The sequence below is a fragment of the Homo sapiens genome, chromosome 6 (assembly GCF_000001405.40).
Source record: "Homo sapiens chromosome 6, GRCh38.p14 Primary Assembly".
In the NCBI taxonomy this organism is placed as follows: domain Eukaryota; kingdom Metazoa; phylum Chordata; class Mammalia; order Primates; family Hominidae; genus Homo; species Homo sapiens.
The window spans coordinates 27,403,971-27,420,732 of NC_000006.12; the positions used below are offsets into that span (position 1 = coordinate 27,403,971).

The 16,762-nt window shown below is 41.4% G+C and overlaps 1 protein-coding gene and 1 pseudogene across 2 annotated transcripts in view; one reads left to right on the top strand and one right to left on the bottom strand.

Annotated features, from left to right (window-relative positions):
* Window positions 36-16,762, bottom strand: part of ZNF184 (zinc finger protein 184) — a 69,100-nt gene continuing 52,373 nt past the window's right edge. The window contains exons 6-9 of one of the 2 annotated variants that reach the window (NR_144688.2): window positions 6,296-6,366; window positions 3,748-3,884; window positions 3,136-3,212; window positions 36-2,687 (exon numbers count right to left, since the gene is read on the bottom strand). The gene's annotated coding sequence lies outside the window, so the exon portion shown is untranslated. Of the gene's footprint in view, window positions 2,903-3,135; window positions 3,213-3,747; window positions 3,885-6,295; window positions 6,367-16,762 lie in introns of both variants that reach the window. The other variant, NR_144687.2, reaches the window with a different exon arrangement.
* MCFD2P1 (multiple coagulation factor deficiency 2 pseudogene 1) lies at window positions 3,727-5,721 on the top strand (annotated as a pseudogene).

Sequence of the window (16,762 nt, forward strand, 5' to 3'; positions counted from 1 at the left end):
AAAACTAGGATCACAATCAAATAAGCTAGAAGGTATTTCTTTTATCATAATAGGCAATAGCTATTTTATTATAACTCCATTGTGTGTAAAAAAATGACTCAAGATGGCGAACAAGATACAGTAAAATAGAAAACAACACATACAAATGAGCACTAGGAGATCAGGACAAGTTATGATAACCTACACAGGCAGTCAGTTAGGGATACAAACTGAGCATTCTGGCAACCAAAATGAGAAGGTCATTTGCTTACATTGTTTTAGAAGGAAAAAAATATGTCCATTCTTCAAGGAAAACAAAGCTTTTCTAATACTTAGAATTAAGATGAATTACTCCATTGGTCTTCATGTAATTATACAATGTCTTTGATATAAAAAAAATTATATTTCATAACACCTAGTATACAGCAGTTTCTCTGGTGAATAAATATTTAGTTCATAGCAGAAAGTCCAGAAAGGCAGATGCGAAGATTGTTCTTAGGATGGAGTGAGGTTCGCAGGAGCAGGGGGGAGAGTATATTAAGTAATGAAATATTTACTGGGTACCAGAAGAAACTCTCTTTGTAGATATTTGAGTACAGTTATGAACCACACAAGGACATTTTGGTCAATAATGGACTGCAGAAATGACAGTGATCACATAAGATTATAATGGAGCTGGAAAATGCCTATTAACTAGTGACATCATAGCACAATTATATGTTTGTGGTGATACTGGTGTAAACAAACTTACTGCACTGCCAATCATATAAAAGTATAGCACTAAAGGCCTAGTGTGGTGGCTCACGCTTGTAATCCCAGCACTTTGGGAGGCCAAGGCGGGTGGATCACCTGAGGTCAGGAGTTCAAGACCAGCCTGGCCAACATGATGAAACCCTGTCTCTACTAAAAATACAAAAATTAGCCAGGCGTGGTGGCTCACACCTATATTCCCAGCTACTTGGGAGGCTGAGGCACAAGAATCGGTTGAATCCGAGAGGCAGAGGTTGTCGTGAGCCAAGATCATGCCACTGCCTGCATTCTGGGTAAAGAGTGAGACTCGGTCTCAAAAAAAAAAAATAGCACTATATAATACCTGATAGGAAAGTACTATATCACTGGTTTGTGTATTTACCTTACTTTTTATTGTTATTAGGTTGGTGCAAAAGTAACTGCAATGGCAAAAACGGCAATTACTTTTGCACCAATTTAATATTTTAGAGTGTACTTCTACTTATTTAAAAAAAGTTAACTGTAAAACAGCCTCAGGCAGATCCTACAGAAGGTATTCCAGAAGAAGGCATTGTTATCATAGGAGATGACAGCTCCATGCATATTACTGCTCCTGGAAGGCTTTCCAGTCAGCTAAGATGTGAAGCTGTAAAACAGTGATATTGATAATCCTGACTGCCCCGCTGTCTACACCTGGTTTCAAACCATATGGTGTCAGTACTAGGCTGGACTGCACCAGCAGTCCAGGCAGCAGTGGCACCCCAACTAGACATAGCTGTGTACCATGTCCTATTAGGAATGGAAGAACACCCTTTCTAACAGTGAAGGCTCGGGGTCTAGGGGTGCCCCAGGCCCCATGGCCTTATCTTGCATTAGGACTACAGGTTCCAAGACCTCTTGCAACTCTGCTGCTAAGGGACTTATACTTAGCGTACTCCACTGCTCTAAGTAGGTGCCCCACTTCGCTAAAGTGGATGTCTGTGCTGTCCCAGTCTGGGGGGGTCATTGCTCATGAACGCACCCATCCCACTATGGGGTAAGCCATCCACACGACTGTAACCCATCCAGCCACGCTCTTATGAACCTGAAGGGCAGCATATATGGTTACTAACTGCTTCTTTATTAATGAACACTGGGGCTCAGCTCCCTTCCATAGCTGGGACTAAAAGCTGACTGGCGCTTCCAAGCACTCCATATACTGCCATAGGCCCTAGCCAACTCTATTGGTGGTTACATGCACATCTAGTTTAAATGGGCACCCTGGTTAACCACCCAGAGGGCTTATGTCATCAGAAGGGCTGTTTCAGCCTCATCATCCCAATCCCAGGCAAGAGGGGTGTTGTGGCCTCCAAACCAGCAAAAGAACTAGAGGTTAACATAACATCATTAATAAGAAAATGATATATAATGGGGCTATACATATAGCCCTGCAGCAACACTATGAAAGTCCATTGTCGCCCTCCCATGAAGGCAAACTGTTCCTGGCTCTCTGGAGCAATGCTGATTGAGAAGAATGCATTGGTCAAGTCCACCACACAGTGGCACCATCCCAGTTCTGTTGTCAAACGGTCCATCAAGTCCATGACAGGTGGCACAGCTGCCAAGTCTTGCAAAACATCCACCCCCAAGAATGTCCTCAGGCATGCAAGAGACATACACAGTGCATAAGTGGAGAGCCAAGCAGCTGATGCCCAGGTGCAAAGACACAGGTTTCACTTTCACTGACCAGCTTTCATAGCTGTCTATGCAGCCTTCCCTGGAAACTTATCCGGGTCCAGGGACCAGTGGATTGCCAAGTCCATATATGGCCTTTGGTTGTCTGGTATCCCCTACCAAGCCGGGCACCTTGGCCAGTTCTCTTATCAAACAGAAAATGCTTTATACTTCCACCAACTGCAGCAGGTACTCTTTGAACTGGAACACTCTGGCAGGACCAGGTTGCGCAGCAACATCCTTCTCCCAAATGACTTGCACCAAGTCTGTACAAGAGTGCCAACATTACTTGCTTAACTCCTACAACTTAGCAGGGGCACAGACAACATAGGAAGTGTGCTCCACCACAGTAGGGGGTCTCTGGCCCACCCTTGGGGCCCAACAGCTGCTCATGCTCTATTTTCTGGCAGACCATTGGGTGAACCTGTAACGGAGGTTCTTCCTCCCTGTGTGCATCCCTCAGGGACTGGGCAGGCACTTCCTGCAGCAAAGTCACAAACATCCATCTGACTGGCGGTAAAAGCATGCTGCATCTCAGTGCTGTGCATTTCCAGGTGCTTCAGCGCCTTCTCCACACTTGCGGGGGACCCATCCACTGCCTCCCATGTTTCCACTGAAGCCCATCCTCGCAGCACAGCTGCCACTGGCTACCACAGCCCATGCTGCAGCCACATAGCCAACCCAGGAACCCTCAGGGGCTGAAGACCTACTCACCTCATCCCATTCTCATTGCCAGTTGTTAGGTTTAGGGTTCGGGTCCAGCCCATGCTGAGGTACAAGGGAGTGGGTCCCTGGGCAAATAGATAACAGAACACTTGTGGGGGACGTAGGCAGGTGAAAGATGATTTTGTTCAGCAGCAGCTCTCATCATCAGCTTACTCACATAGCTCACTTACACCAGGTCTCTCACACTGTCCACCCTGTCTCGGCTGCTTGAGCCAGCTGCTCCCACACACAGCTGCAGGGCTGGCTCTTCCTTGCCTTCAGAGTTAGCAGCTTAACTCTTTCTCTCTATGGGCACGAGCTGGTTCCCGGCTCCCCCTGCCCATCTGCCAGTTGGTCATTCTTCCTTACAGGGGCCAGTAGCTTCACTCTCTCTCTGGGCAGCAGCGCCTGCACAAGAGCCATGTCAAGCTAAGCCCTATGCACAGTGTCAGCAGGACAATTATACCTTTTACAGACAATAGTGGCTCAGAGCCAAGTATGAACTTACACAAACAGGTTATATAACAAGTGGAGGTGTGTGCCTGCACGCCAAACTTGCTGAGTCATGCAAGCCTGGATGTCCACCTTGGCCTATTCCTTGACCCAAACACATCCATGTACCTTACAGAAGATGTCATCAACAAACCAGAGGCGGAGATGTCACTACAAGATTTGCAGCTCCATTACTTCAAAATGCACGATTATGATGGCAATTATTTGCTTGATGGTTTAGAAATCTCCACAGCCATCACTCATATCTATAAGGAGAAAGGGAGTGAACAGGCACCACTAATGAGTGAAGATGAGCTGATTAACATAAGAGATGGTGTTTTGAGAGATGATGACAAGAACAATGATGGATACATTGACTATGCTGAATTTGCAAAATCACTGCAGTAGATGTTATTTGTTCATCTCTTGGTTATATGCAAATGTGACCTGGGATAATGTGATTGAATACTTTGATAATGCAAATTAACTCATTTCTAACTACTGCTGCAGCATTTTGGTAAAAACCTGTAGCAGTTTGTTACACTGGGGTGAGAAGGGATCAAGAGAAATGAAAGAGAGGAGAAATGGGACATCTAATAGTCCCTAAGCACTATTAAATACCTTATTGGACAAGGGCTTGCTTTTTAAAGCATCCTTTCAAGAATATTGAATAATTGGAGCTGAGAACTCAGGAGCTTCACTGTAGTAGAATACTGCTAGTTTCTTAATTTTAATTCATGTTACCTTAAAAGTAAAACAACAGGCTTTGCCAATTGGACGTTTTTCAGTAACAGTGAAGGAGTGGAGTGAATGCCAAATATTTGCCCTGGTGGTTCCTATCTCTTCAGTTAAACATGGTCAGTATTCTCTAAAGTTCCCCTGTCCTAAAAGACTACTTGCTCTGGGCAAATGGATATTTATTAGACTATTTCAAAGACACAGCATAAGAAGAATATCAAATATTGAGTTCAGCCTAGCCACAGAGTCTAAGATTCTGTATCCTCCAGCCCTCTAGCATTTTGGAAATGATACACTGCTAGCTTAAGTGATTAATCTTTTTCAGATTTTCAGTATTTTATACAACTTACTGCCATATCCTTATACTTTATTACTTTTCTGTCGTCTTCAACCTGGGAGAGATCTTGAATTTAAATGTTTTCTAATCAATAGTATTTTAGCTTTCTTTATATTTCTATTTCACTCTTGTTTCTAGGGTTTCCTTTTTTGCAGTTTAGGAACTTTTAGGAATGTCAGGACTTTATCAGCAGGGGTAAAACTACCAACTAGCCTAGCCTAAGTAGGAAGTGAAAAGATAATTCACCAAACAATGATTAACCTGATAGAAGTTCTATTCAGGAGGAATATTGTTTAAATTACCTCTTTTAGCCTGAATACATGGATTCTTTTCAAATCAGGAAAGATTAGAAAAGGAACCCTAAAAATCTTTTAACAGTGTGAATCTTAATAGTATGTGAAAATGAGAAGAAGTAACAGATGGTAATTTGGTTTATTGGATGTGATGGACATGCTGAAAGGATGATCGAATGGGAAAAAGAGACTGCATAAAATTTGCTATAAGATAGATAGAGACTTATTTTCTTTCTTAAAGTATTCTTATAAGAAAACATGGCTGAGCGCAGGTGGCTCATGCCTGTAATCCCAGCGCTTTGGGAGGCCGAGGCGGGCGGATCACAAGGTGAGGAGATCGAGACCATCCTGGCTAACATGGTGAAACCCTGTCTCTACTAAAAATACAAAAAATTAGCCGGGCGTGGTGGCGGGCGCCTGTAGACCCAGCTACTCAGGAGGCTGAGGCAGGAGAATGGCATGAACCTGGGAGGTGGAGCTTGCAGTGAGCCGAGATCGCACCACTGCACTCCAGCCTGGGCGACAGAGTGAGACTCCGTCTCAAAAAAAAAAAAAAAAAAAAAAACACAAAACAAACGAACAAACAAAAAATATATATATTTGTAAAAATGACCAAGTGTCAAGTATTTGTACAGTCAGAGCTAACTTGTAAACTATTCTTGTAATATCTCATTATTCTGAAAGATTTATGTAATGAATTCTGGATATATGACCAATAAAAATGATGAAACAAAAAAAAAGTTATAGTAAGTTAAGATTAATTATTGAAGAAAAATACGTTAAAAATAAATTTAGTGCAGCCTAATGTACAGTGTTTATAAAGTCTACAGTAGTGTAGTCTTCATGAGATGAACTATAATATCCTAGGCCTTCATATTCACTCACTACTCATTCACTGATACCTAGAGCAACTTCCAGTCCTATAAGCTCTATTCACAGGAAGTGCCCCATATATGTGTGCCATTTTAAAATGTTTTATACTGAATTTTTACTATACCTTTTCTATGTTTAGATATATTATGATACACAAATATTTACCATTGTATTACAATTGCCTCTAGTATTCAGTACAGTAACGTGATGTACAGGTTTGTAGCCTAGAAGAAAGAGACTATGCCATATAGTCTAGGTGTGTAGTTGGCTATACCATGTAGGTTTGTGAAAGTATACTCTATGATGTTACAAGGACAAAATTACCTAATGATGCACTTTTCAGAACATACTGCTTTCATTAAGTGACATGACTGTAATTTAATTCACCACATTATGGGAAGAGGAAATTAAAATATACAGATGTTGAATGACTTACACAGGGACCAGGATTTTACTCCAGTTCTGCCGACTCCAGTACTGGATCTCTTAAGCTGGATCCTAGCAGATCTGAGAAAGAAAGGGAACTGTGTAAGGAAAGTCAGAGAGGTGGGAAAATGTTCTCAGTTTAAGTAGGTGAACTGACTTGCTTATGGCAGAGGGTTCGTTGAAAAGAAATTGGTGATTTGGAATTTCATAGCTACATGATGGCAGCCTTTAGTATTAGGTTGCATTTGGATTTCATCTTTTAAGCAATAAAGGAATTATGGGAGGTTCTTTTTTTAGACAGAGCCTTTCTCTGTCACCCAGGCTGGAGTGCAGTGGTGCGATCTCAGCTCACTGCAACCTCCCCTTCCCGGGTTCAAGTGATTCTCCCTCCTCAGCTTCCCGAGTAGCTGAGACCACAGGTGCGCACCACCACGCCCGGCTAATTTTTGTATTTTTAGTAGAGACGGGGTTTCAGCATGTTGCCCAGGCTGGTCTCAAACTCCTGACCTCAGGTGATCCACCTGCCTTGGCCTCCCAAATTGTCGGGATTACAGGCATGAGCCACTGCCCCCAGCTATGGGAGGTTTTTGATCATGGTGGTTAAGTCTGGCTTGAGGGTGAAGATTAATCTGGTAGAAGAGACTGTATGGTTCAGAAATGAGAGATGGTAGGCAGAAACTAGGTGGGAAGCTGGGGTTCTTAAAACAGCGGTATTGGGAAACAGAAGTGGACAGATGAGGAAACTGGTGTCTTTGTGCTACTACAACAAAAACTTGTGTGGAGTAATTTATAAAGAAATTTTTTTCTCACAGTTCTGGGGGCTAGAAGTCCAATGTCAAGGCACCAGACCGGTTGGTATTTGGAGAGGGCTTCTGTGTGCTTTCAAGATGGTGCCTTGTTGCACAACCTCCAGAGGGGACAAATGCTATATGGCCTCACATAGGGGAAGTGACGGAAGGGCAAAAGAGGCTTAAAACTCCAGGCCTTTTATGAGGCACTAACCATTCATGAGGAATGAGTTCTCATGATTTAATCACTTCCCAAAGACCCCACCTCCTACACCACCACAATGGGGATTAAGTTTCAATATACGAATTTTGGGGATGTTCCGAAAGCAAACAGAAAAAGAAAGATCCAGTGAAACTGGTGACTAGATACGGGCAAGGGACCAGTGGCTACATTCCTTAAAGTGGTATTGTTACTTAACTTACATGTAAGCTATTAGGGTGTGCAGAGGGGGATTTCTGACATATACTCAGCAGTCATGAACACAAAGCATAATGTAGGTTGAATGTCTGATGAAAATAGCCTATATCTTTAATACAAAGTCAATAAGTAGAACCAGAAACTTTGGGGTTTGCAGTGAGGAAGTCCGGATAGAAGGCCCGAGGGTAACAGTGATCCAGAGAAGTCAGACCTATTTTGAGAAGAAATTAAGGGTCTTTTAATGTGGCCCAAATTACTGTGACTTGGCTCTCACATTTAAGTAGAACATCTTCAAAATAATCTCCTGTTTTACAAGGAGGCTATATCTAGGTGCTTGGCATGGGCCCTTACTTTTCTGTCAGCCAGCAGGTGGAGGAAGAGAAAGGCCCCTGTGGAGGCCAGCCGCCCTCCCTCCTCACTTGCCCAGGGCCCCTAGCCCATCCCTTGGTGGGAATCCCAGTAGGTGAGGAGGGGCATGACAGCTAATACTGCGGGGTGGATGAGGAGCCTCTGGGCACTACTCTCTGGACGTGCTCCTGGCCCGTCACGCCCCCAGTAGGCTGGCTGGGACCACCGCAACATGGTGGCTGTGGGCACTCCTAGAAGATGAGGGCCGGCAACTGCCACAAACTCCATTTGACAGCTTTTGGGTGGAGCCGTGGGTGTTGGGTGGGGCGGTATTTAAAATAAGATCAGCCAAGAGCAAGAAGAGCTTGGTGTCCTGGAACTGGCCAGCATCTCCTAGGAAACATAGTCTGCGAGGTTGCACGCTCAGGGCCACACGGTTCCACAGTTGGTAGGAGTTGCCCCAGGCCACCATCAGCGAGGTGAAGCAAATGCTCAGAGCAGAGAGCTGGGCCAGTTGGGTCAGCACGCCTTCCCTACTGTCAGGAGCAGTGTAGGGTTAGAGACAACCAGGTCCATGCATGTGTGTCTTTCCACAATGTCAGGCTTTTACTAATGCTATTCCAGTCACAAAAGTCATGAGCTACATGCAGTTCCCAAGGTGGCAATTCTCCTTAGTACTTCCCCTTCACTCTGTAGTCAGAGCTATGGGCACACAGGCATAAGCCACTCCATAAGTCAGTAAATATTGTAAATATTGACGAAAAGAGTCAAACTCTAAAATATTTGAAGAGATTTATCCTAAGCCAAATATGAGTGACCATGGCCTGTGACACAGCCCCAGGACATCCTAAGAACATGTGCCCATAGCTTGGCTTTATACGTTTTAGAAAGACATAAGACATCAATCAATACATGAAAGATGTACATTGGTTTGGTTGGGAAAGGCAGGGGCTTCCAGGTCATACATGGTGAGAGAATCACTTGAGCCCAGAAGTTTGAGGCTTCAGTGAGCTATGTTTATGCCACTGTACTCCAGTCTGAGTGACAGAGCAAGACCCTGTCTCTGAAAATAAATAAATAAAAATTATATGGCAAAGGATATGAAGGAGATAGAAAGTATAATCATAGGATAATAAGATTTAAGAGGCTAGGCGTGGTGGCTCATGCCTGTAATCCCAGCACTTTGGGAGGCCGAGGCAGGCAGATCACCTGAAGTTGGGAGTTCGAGACCATCCTGACCAACATGGAGAAACCCTGTCTCTACTATGGAGAAACCCTGTCTCTACTAAAAATACAAAATTAGCCAGGCGTGGTGGCACATGCCTGTAATCCCAGCTACTCAGGAGGCTGAGGCAGGAGAATCACTTGAACCTGGGAGGTGGAGGTTGTCGTGAGCCAGAGATCGTGCCATTGCACTCCAGCCTGGGCAACAAGAGTGAAACTCTGTCTCAAAGAAAGAAAGAAAAAAAAACAGATTTAAGAAAATGAGTTTGAGGGAACTCAAGACAGTTAAATCCATACCTTTTATGGTTTGGGGAAAAGCTTTAATTTTTATCTCAGATTATAAAACCAGTCAAATTCATTTTAATATTCTCTCAGAAATATTTAAATTGATAAAACATAATGTTCACTCATTTTTAATTATGACAAATTTAAAACATACACAAAATTAGAGAGACTAGTAAAATGGACTCCTCTATGCTCATTGTTCAGGTTTAACAGCTATCAAAATTTTGCCACATTTGTTTTATTTGTCCCTTTTTTCTTCATTTTATTCTTTTGATATTTTAAATAAAACTGAGACATCATGTAGTTTCATTCCTACATATTTCATTATGCATTTCTAAAAACCATGGACAATTTCTTACCTAACCAAAATGCTACTATCATACTTAACAAAATTAACAGTAATTCCTGGTATACCCTTCATTTTGTAAATAAAACATAACTTGACTTACATCTTCTGTTTGGGAAATTTGGAAGAAACAAAGGTAGCCCTGGGTCTGGATGTGGATCCATGCTAAGTTTAGGGTTTGAAACTGGACCTTTCTTCCATTTGACTCTCACCTTTTCTATTCAGATCCTGGAGTAGAACTGCATTAGCTGAACTCAATGGATCCTTCAGAGCATTGGCTTCCTGCTGGGGAGCTGGAGATTTGAGATCTCAAGAACTACTTTCTAATAATCTTGTTCACTATGCATCTTCTCTGATAAGCCTGGTGCCATCATTGATAATTTCCTCACAACTTCATAGTCTAAAATTACTCATTGAACAATGAACATGTGGAAACCAAAATTAAAAATATCTAAACCATCAGCAAATCCTGTTGGCTTTACTTCAAAATTGTTCTAGAATCAAACCATTTGCCACCATTTTCACCCTGAACTAAGCTGCTACCATATCTCTGCTAGACTATTGCCTAACTTATCTCTTTGTTTTCATCCTTGTCCCTTTTAACCACCCCCATCGCTCATACAGCCTATTTTCAACACAGTAGCCAGAAGAATCCTTTTTAATTGTTCGTTAAATCATGCTGCTCCTACTCAGAATCTTCCGGTAGCTTTTCCTCTCACTCATAGTAAAAGCCAAAGTCCTTACGGTGACCTACAAGGCCCCACATAGTGTGGTCCTTCATGACCTCTTGAGTCTAATCTCCTATTGCTCTATTCTCTTTCACTTTACTCTAGCCACACTGGCCTCTTTGTTATTCTTAAACATACCAGGCCACTCTTGCCACAGAACTTTCACATACGCTATTCCTTCTGCTTGCAGGGCTTTTGCTCAGATATCCAGATGGCTCTTTCTTTCTCTCACCTTCTATGACACCTTTTTAATAAGCTGTTTCTTGTTACCCTATTTAAAATTATGATACATATCCCATTGGTGTTTTGTATCCTATCTTGCTTTATTTTTCTTCATAGTATATACTCTATACTTTTTAAAGATTTTATTATCTCCCCCTTCAGTGAGACACAAGTGAGAGTTCCCCAAAAGCAGGAAGGGAGGTTAGCAAACAATAGTGTTATCTAAATGCAACTTTAAATGATCTCTCCTGGCCTTTACCCTTTGGAAGTGAGTAAGGTACAGGAAAATTACCTAAAACACCCATGGGCTCACGCCTCATGATAGTATGTGACCCTGGGCAAATCATTTAATCTCTTTGAGGCTGTTTCCTAAAATGTAAAATGTTGTTAAAAGTATCTTCCCTTCCTACCTCACAGGGATATTTTGAGAGGAATATGAAATGACAGGAAAAGTCTGTAATGAGCAGTAACCATCTGTAATGAGTATACAATGGGCTGGTTGTAATCTCAGGCTATTGATGAGCTGGCTATAACTCAGTGGGGGCTGTTGGTGGGCTGAGCTACTCTACAGTTGGTTCAGGAAGCCCAAAGAGAAAAGGACTCTTACATAAGTCCTGAGTCAGACATCAACTTTATGCTTCTAATGAGTAATCGTTGCTTAGAAAGGTTATATGATACTCTATTTTTCTCTATCTTGGTTTTCAGCTAGCCACATTTTAGTAAAAAAAAAATTATCAAAGAAAAATTTTAATGTAGAAAACCTTCTGTAATTATATTTCTGTTACTGGAAAAGACTGACACTGTTGGAACTTTCAAGAAAAAAATGCTTTTCTCTAACTTTAGGAACTTCAGTGTTCTAAGGACATGAGTTTGAGAATTATTGGTATAAGAGTTTAGTATATGAGGAGAGGAGGTTTTTCTTGGATGCAATAAGGAATTAAAGAGACTGACTGTAACATGGAGTTAGTCTCAGGTTGCCAAGGTCTACCATATACTTTATGTTTTGGAACGTTTCTTACCTCAGAAATCCCATTACTTCCTTTGAAATACAGGGACTAAAAAGCTGTTCCAGGCTTCTCTTATCATGTAAAATGAGTCAAGACATTATAGCGGTTGAAAAAGTGGGCTCTGAAGTTGGAATCCTGGTTCTGTCATATATTGGCAGTGTGACCTCAGGCAAGTTATTTAATCTTTCTGTGTCTGTACTAGTTTGCTAGGGCTGCCATAACAAAGTACCACAAACTGGGTGGCTTAAACAACAGAAATGTATTGTCTCACAGTTCTGGAAACTAGAAGTCCCTAATGAAGGTGCCATTAGGGATGCTTCCTGCTGATGGCTCTGAGGGAGAATCTGTTCCAGACCTCTCTCCTAGTTTCTGGTAGTGTCAGTCATTATTTTGCTTGTAGATGGCATTCTCCCCGTATCTTCACATTATCTTGCCTCTTTACTTGTCTCTTTCTGTGTCCAAATTTTCCCTTTTAAAGGATGAGTCATACTGGATTAGGGCCCATCCTAATGACCTCATCTTAACCTGATTATCTGCAAAGTCTATTTTCACCATCTTTTGGGGAGGACACAATAAAACATATAACAGTGTCCTAGTTTCCTTGTCTATAAAATGAGAATGGTGATGGCTGCCTGATAGGACTATCGTGAGAGAATTTTGAGTTAAGAGATGGCATATGTTTAGAATAATTTCTAGTCTATAACAATTACCCAAAAGGATAGAGGGTAAGGTTTACTTATGTAGACTTGGGAAAATGAATAAACCTAAATTGAAAGGCAGATCATCTAGCATGGATATCTGTTACCAGGGCAGATTTGGCTCATCATGCTTCCTAGTCCTTTCTATCTTCTGTGGAACAAGCCTACTGCCCACTTCTCTGGTATCATGACAATATCCTAACAACCATGAGAAGGACTTGCCTTTAGTTTCGGGTATGAGGATAAGTATACGTCTCTGTTTGAATCTCTCCTCCCCTTATTTTTCCCAATCATGGGACAATATTCAAAAGGCATCAGGTCCTTCAAATATCATTGGGTATTTTAGGAGAGCTGAGTGTCAGCCTTTGCCAGTCATTCCCAGGGTGACCCTAGACAACTCTTTCTCTTATTTGGATCTCACTGACCCCTGCTATAAGAGTTTCATTATTCACATTTACATAGCACTTTGGAATTTTTAAAGTAATTTTGTTATGAATTTGTCTTATTTAAGCCTCACAGCATCCTATTGCAGTAGGGTTATTATCATTCCATTTTATAATAATATTGAGGTTTAGAGAGATGATTTAGTTGAACAAGATGACACAGATAGAAAAATCCCAAATTATCAAAATCTAGTCCCTTGACTCTTGAGTAGAGTGCTTTTTGCATTATCCTGCTGTGTCTGAGGGTTACTTTGTCTTCTCATTTGCCTAAGACTGAACTAGTGGAACATCCCCTTGTTAGAATGGGAAGACCAATCCCCCAGGCATTTAGTCCATGCCTATCCCAATTCTGGGGGTCATGAAAGAGTTAAGGCAGTATAGCAAAAAGAAAAAAACACTTCCAAAATGCTTTGAAAAATAAGTATTTTCTAGTTTCAAAGTGACTCTAAGAGGAAATTACTGCACATTGCAAAGCAAAAATGTCAAAAAATATATTTTTTCACACCTCTTTCTGATTTTGATCCCCATTTTTCCTATCTCCTTCCTAAACTCTTTATCAAAACCCTATTTCAGCCTAATTTTTCATTTGCTTGCTCGTTCCCTTTCTCTCTAGACAATTCTGGTTTTTTTTTTTCCTCAATCCTTTCAGGGTTCCAGGGATGTTGGACTTTTATCCCCCATTTTCTGAATTCCCATGTCTCATGAGACTGCCTCCCAAACTGGTGTTGGACAGAGGAGGGAGACTGGCTTTCCACTTCTTTTTCTGACCTTGGCTCAGAACTTTGAGAAATCCTGGAGAAGAGTCCAGGACAGCCTCTGCTTGCCAAACTATATAATCATGCACACATCCTTTCTTTTCTGGTTCTCAATTTGCCCATGTGTAAATAAAGAGATTGGATGGACTTCATTGCTTGAGGCCGATTCTGATTCTGAGAGTCTAAGCAGGACAACTTCCTCCAGACAAGCAGGGCTTTAATGGTGAAGTGAGAAAATGCTCATAAGAATATTGTTAAATAGAAAACCTGAACACTAAACTATGTATGTAGTATAATTTCAGCTATGTAAAACAAAATAATTTACTAATTCAACTTATATGTACTGAGCACTCCACAATCTACAACCTTTTCATTTTGCTTCATGTTGACACTATAGGAGATGCCTCACTAGTGTCATATGGACAGGGGCTGACCAACTAAACCAAGTTTCGTGGGCTGTGAACCTCAGCCCCGTAGGTCCAGAAACTGGGTATTTTTCAGGGCACTGATGTTACAGAGTCTCTTGGGGACAACTCACAATAGCAAACCTCACAAAAGACAGTTCCTAAATATATTTTGCTGAATGCTAATGGAGGCTGTATCTTTCCAGTGAAATAATTCATGGGTTCCATGTTTTAAGGTGTCAGAGAGAAGACTGCTTGTTGATCCTTGAGTCAGAGGCCAGGGAAAAGGTAGTCATGAGGGAGAGCCTATTCAGGCCACAGGGGCATGTTTATGTGTCCCCGTGCCATAACACAGTGCACGTTGCTAGTGACTAATATGCTCCTGGGTGGACTCCACATCTCTCCAGCCCTGGATAGGACCTGGCAGATCCCAGTCCTTGAGTTCCAGGGTTTTTGGCTCCATGATGACCATCTCCATTTGTTTAATATATTTTGTCCTGAGATTGGCACATTCAACTTTTCATTTTTATTTCAATTCATTGATTAGGTAAATTTGTATTCGACTTACAGTATGTATTTGTGCCTGTTTTCCTCCATACTTGTTCACATTTGATATTGACAATAATTTTAATTTTTTCTGCCTAATAGGGAAAATGGTATTTCATTGTAATTTTAACTTGCATTTTTCTGACCCTAGGGAGTTGCACATCATGGTATAAATTTACTGCAGATTTTTTTCTTTTCTGAATTTTAATTTATATTTTGTATTCTTTTTGCTATTTGGTTATGTGCCTTTTTAAAATTGATTTATAAACATTACTTATATAGTCTGGGTATTATGCCTTTATTTGCTCCACATTCTCTTCACAGTCTGTAATATATGCTTTAATTTGGCTTCTGTCATTTTGTATACAAAGGTGCTAAATTTTAATGTAGTCATGAGTGTTTTCAACTTTTAATTCATGAGTATTTTTATTTTTTTTGGTCTCATGGTGTCTTCCCTACCCCAAAAATGTAAATCTAGTGTCCTATATTTTAAAATATATTTTAAGTTTGTTTCTTCACACTTAGAACCTTTAATCCATCTGATATTTATCTTGTTAATTGAGTAAGGCGATGAACTTTTTTTTCTATATTCACGGCTAATTTTTCCAACCACTTTTTAAATTTTAATTTTAGTATATATTTATTTATTTTGAGACAGTCTCACTCTGCTCTGTTGCCCAGGCTGTAGTGCAGTGGCACAATCTCGGCTCACTGCAACCTCTGCCTCCCAGAGGTTCAAGCTATTCTCCTGTCTCAGCCTCCCAATTAGCTGGGATTACAGGCCTGCACTACCACCTTGGCGAATTTCTTTCTATTTTTCAGTAGAGACAGGGTTTCGCCATATTGGCCAGGCTGGTTTCAAACTCCTGACCTCAAGTGATCCACCCACCTTGGACTCCCAAAGTGCTGGGATTACAGGTGTGAGCCACCACACCCAGAGTTGCCTACCACTTTTTTAGAGATATTCATTATCTTCCTAAGATTTGAAGATCCTAATTCAGACCTTGTTTTGTGATTCTGTATACTTTCCCTGCAGGGTACATATCTATTTTCAATATTCAGATAGATAGATAGATAGATAGATAGATAGATAGATAGATAGATAGATTCATAAATAGATAGATAGATGATGTCTAAAGCTTTCTTAAGCCCAGGCTAGTATCTCCATACCTTCAACAGTGAAACCCAAAATCCTTGATTTATCAGTGACTCATCTCTTCTCATGCTCCACAACAATCTTACAGCAAATCCACTAAAATATATGTAAAATCTGACCACTTCTCACCACTTCCATTATGACTACCTCTGTCTGGGCCACTGTTATCTCTCACCTGGATTCCTGCACTGCATTTCTCCCAGCTTTCTCACTTCCCCTCGTGCCCCTCCACAGTCTCATCTCAGCTAGCAGCCAGAAAACTCCTGCTAAAACTGAGTCCGATTGTGTCACTTCTTTGTCCCAAAGCCTGCACTGGCTCCACATCTCACTTGGCTATGCTCACTCCTTGGGTCCCGAAGCCACTATTCCCTTTGTCTGGAATCCTTTTCCCTTTCACATGTGCATGGACAAATGCTTTATTGCCTGTCAATCTTTGCTCAAATAGCATTTTCTCAAGAAGCCTACACTGCAATTGCAACCCTGGTTACTCTCCACAACCAGTCTTGATACTCTACATATTTTCCATAGCATTTATTGCCCTCTAAATTACTAAGTATCCGATAAATGCTTCTATGGATTATAATATTCCCAGGTACCCAACAAACATTTGTTTAATGAATGAAGCAACCACTACTAAATACTTCCTTTTGTTTCTCAGGCATTTCACATTCAGCCTGTTCAAAATTCATTAGTTTTTCCCCAAAACTGTCTATTCCTCTATGCTAGGTGGCTAAGAGTCAGTTTCTTTCAACTCCCCCTTACTCTCACCATGACAGTCTTCTCTGGCCACAACTGTGCAGTCTGTGAGCACCAAGCCCTGCTCCTTAATCCCTCCTCTCCCTACTGTCTCTCCATGCCCAATGTTAGCTACCCTGGTTGAAAGGCACATCATTAATAGTTGCTGGTGTCTGTGAAGAATGTCCCGCCACACCATATGTCCTCAGGGGAATATAAATTAAAATAATAATGAGATACCATCATACATCTATGAGAATGGCCCAAATCCTGAACACTGACATCACCAAATGCTGATGAAGGATGTGGACAAATAGGAGCTGTCATTCATTGCCGGTAGAGATGCAACATGGTACAGCCACTGTGGAAGACAG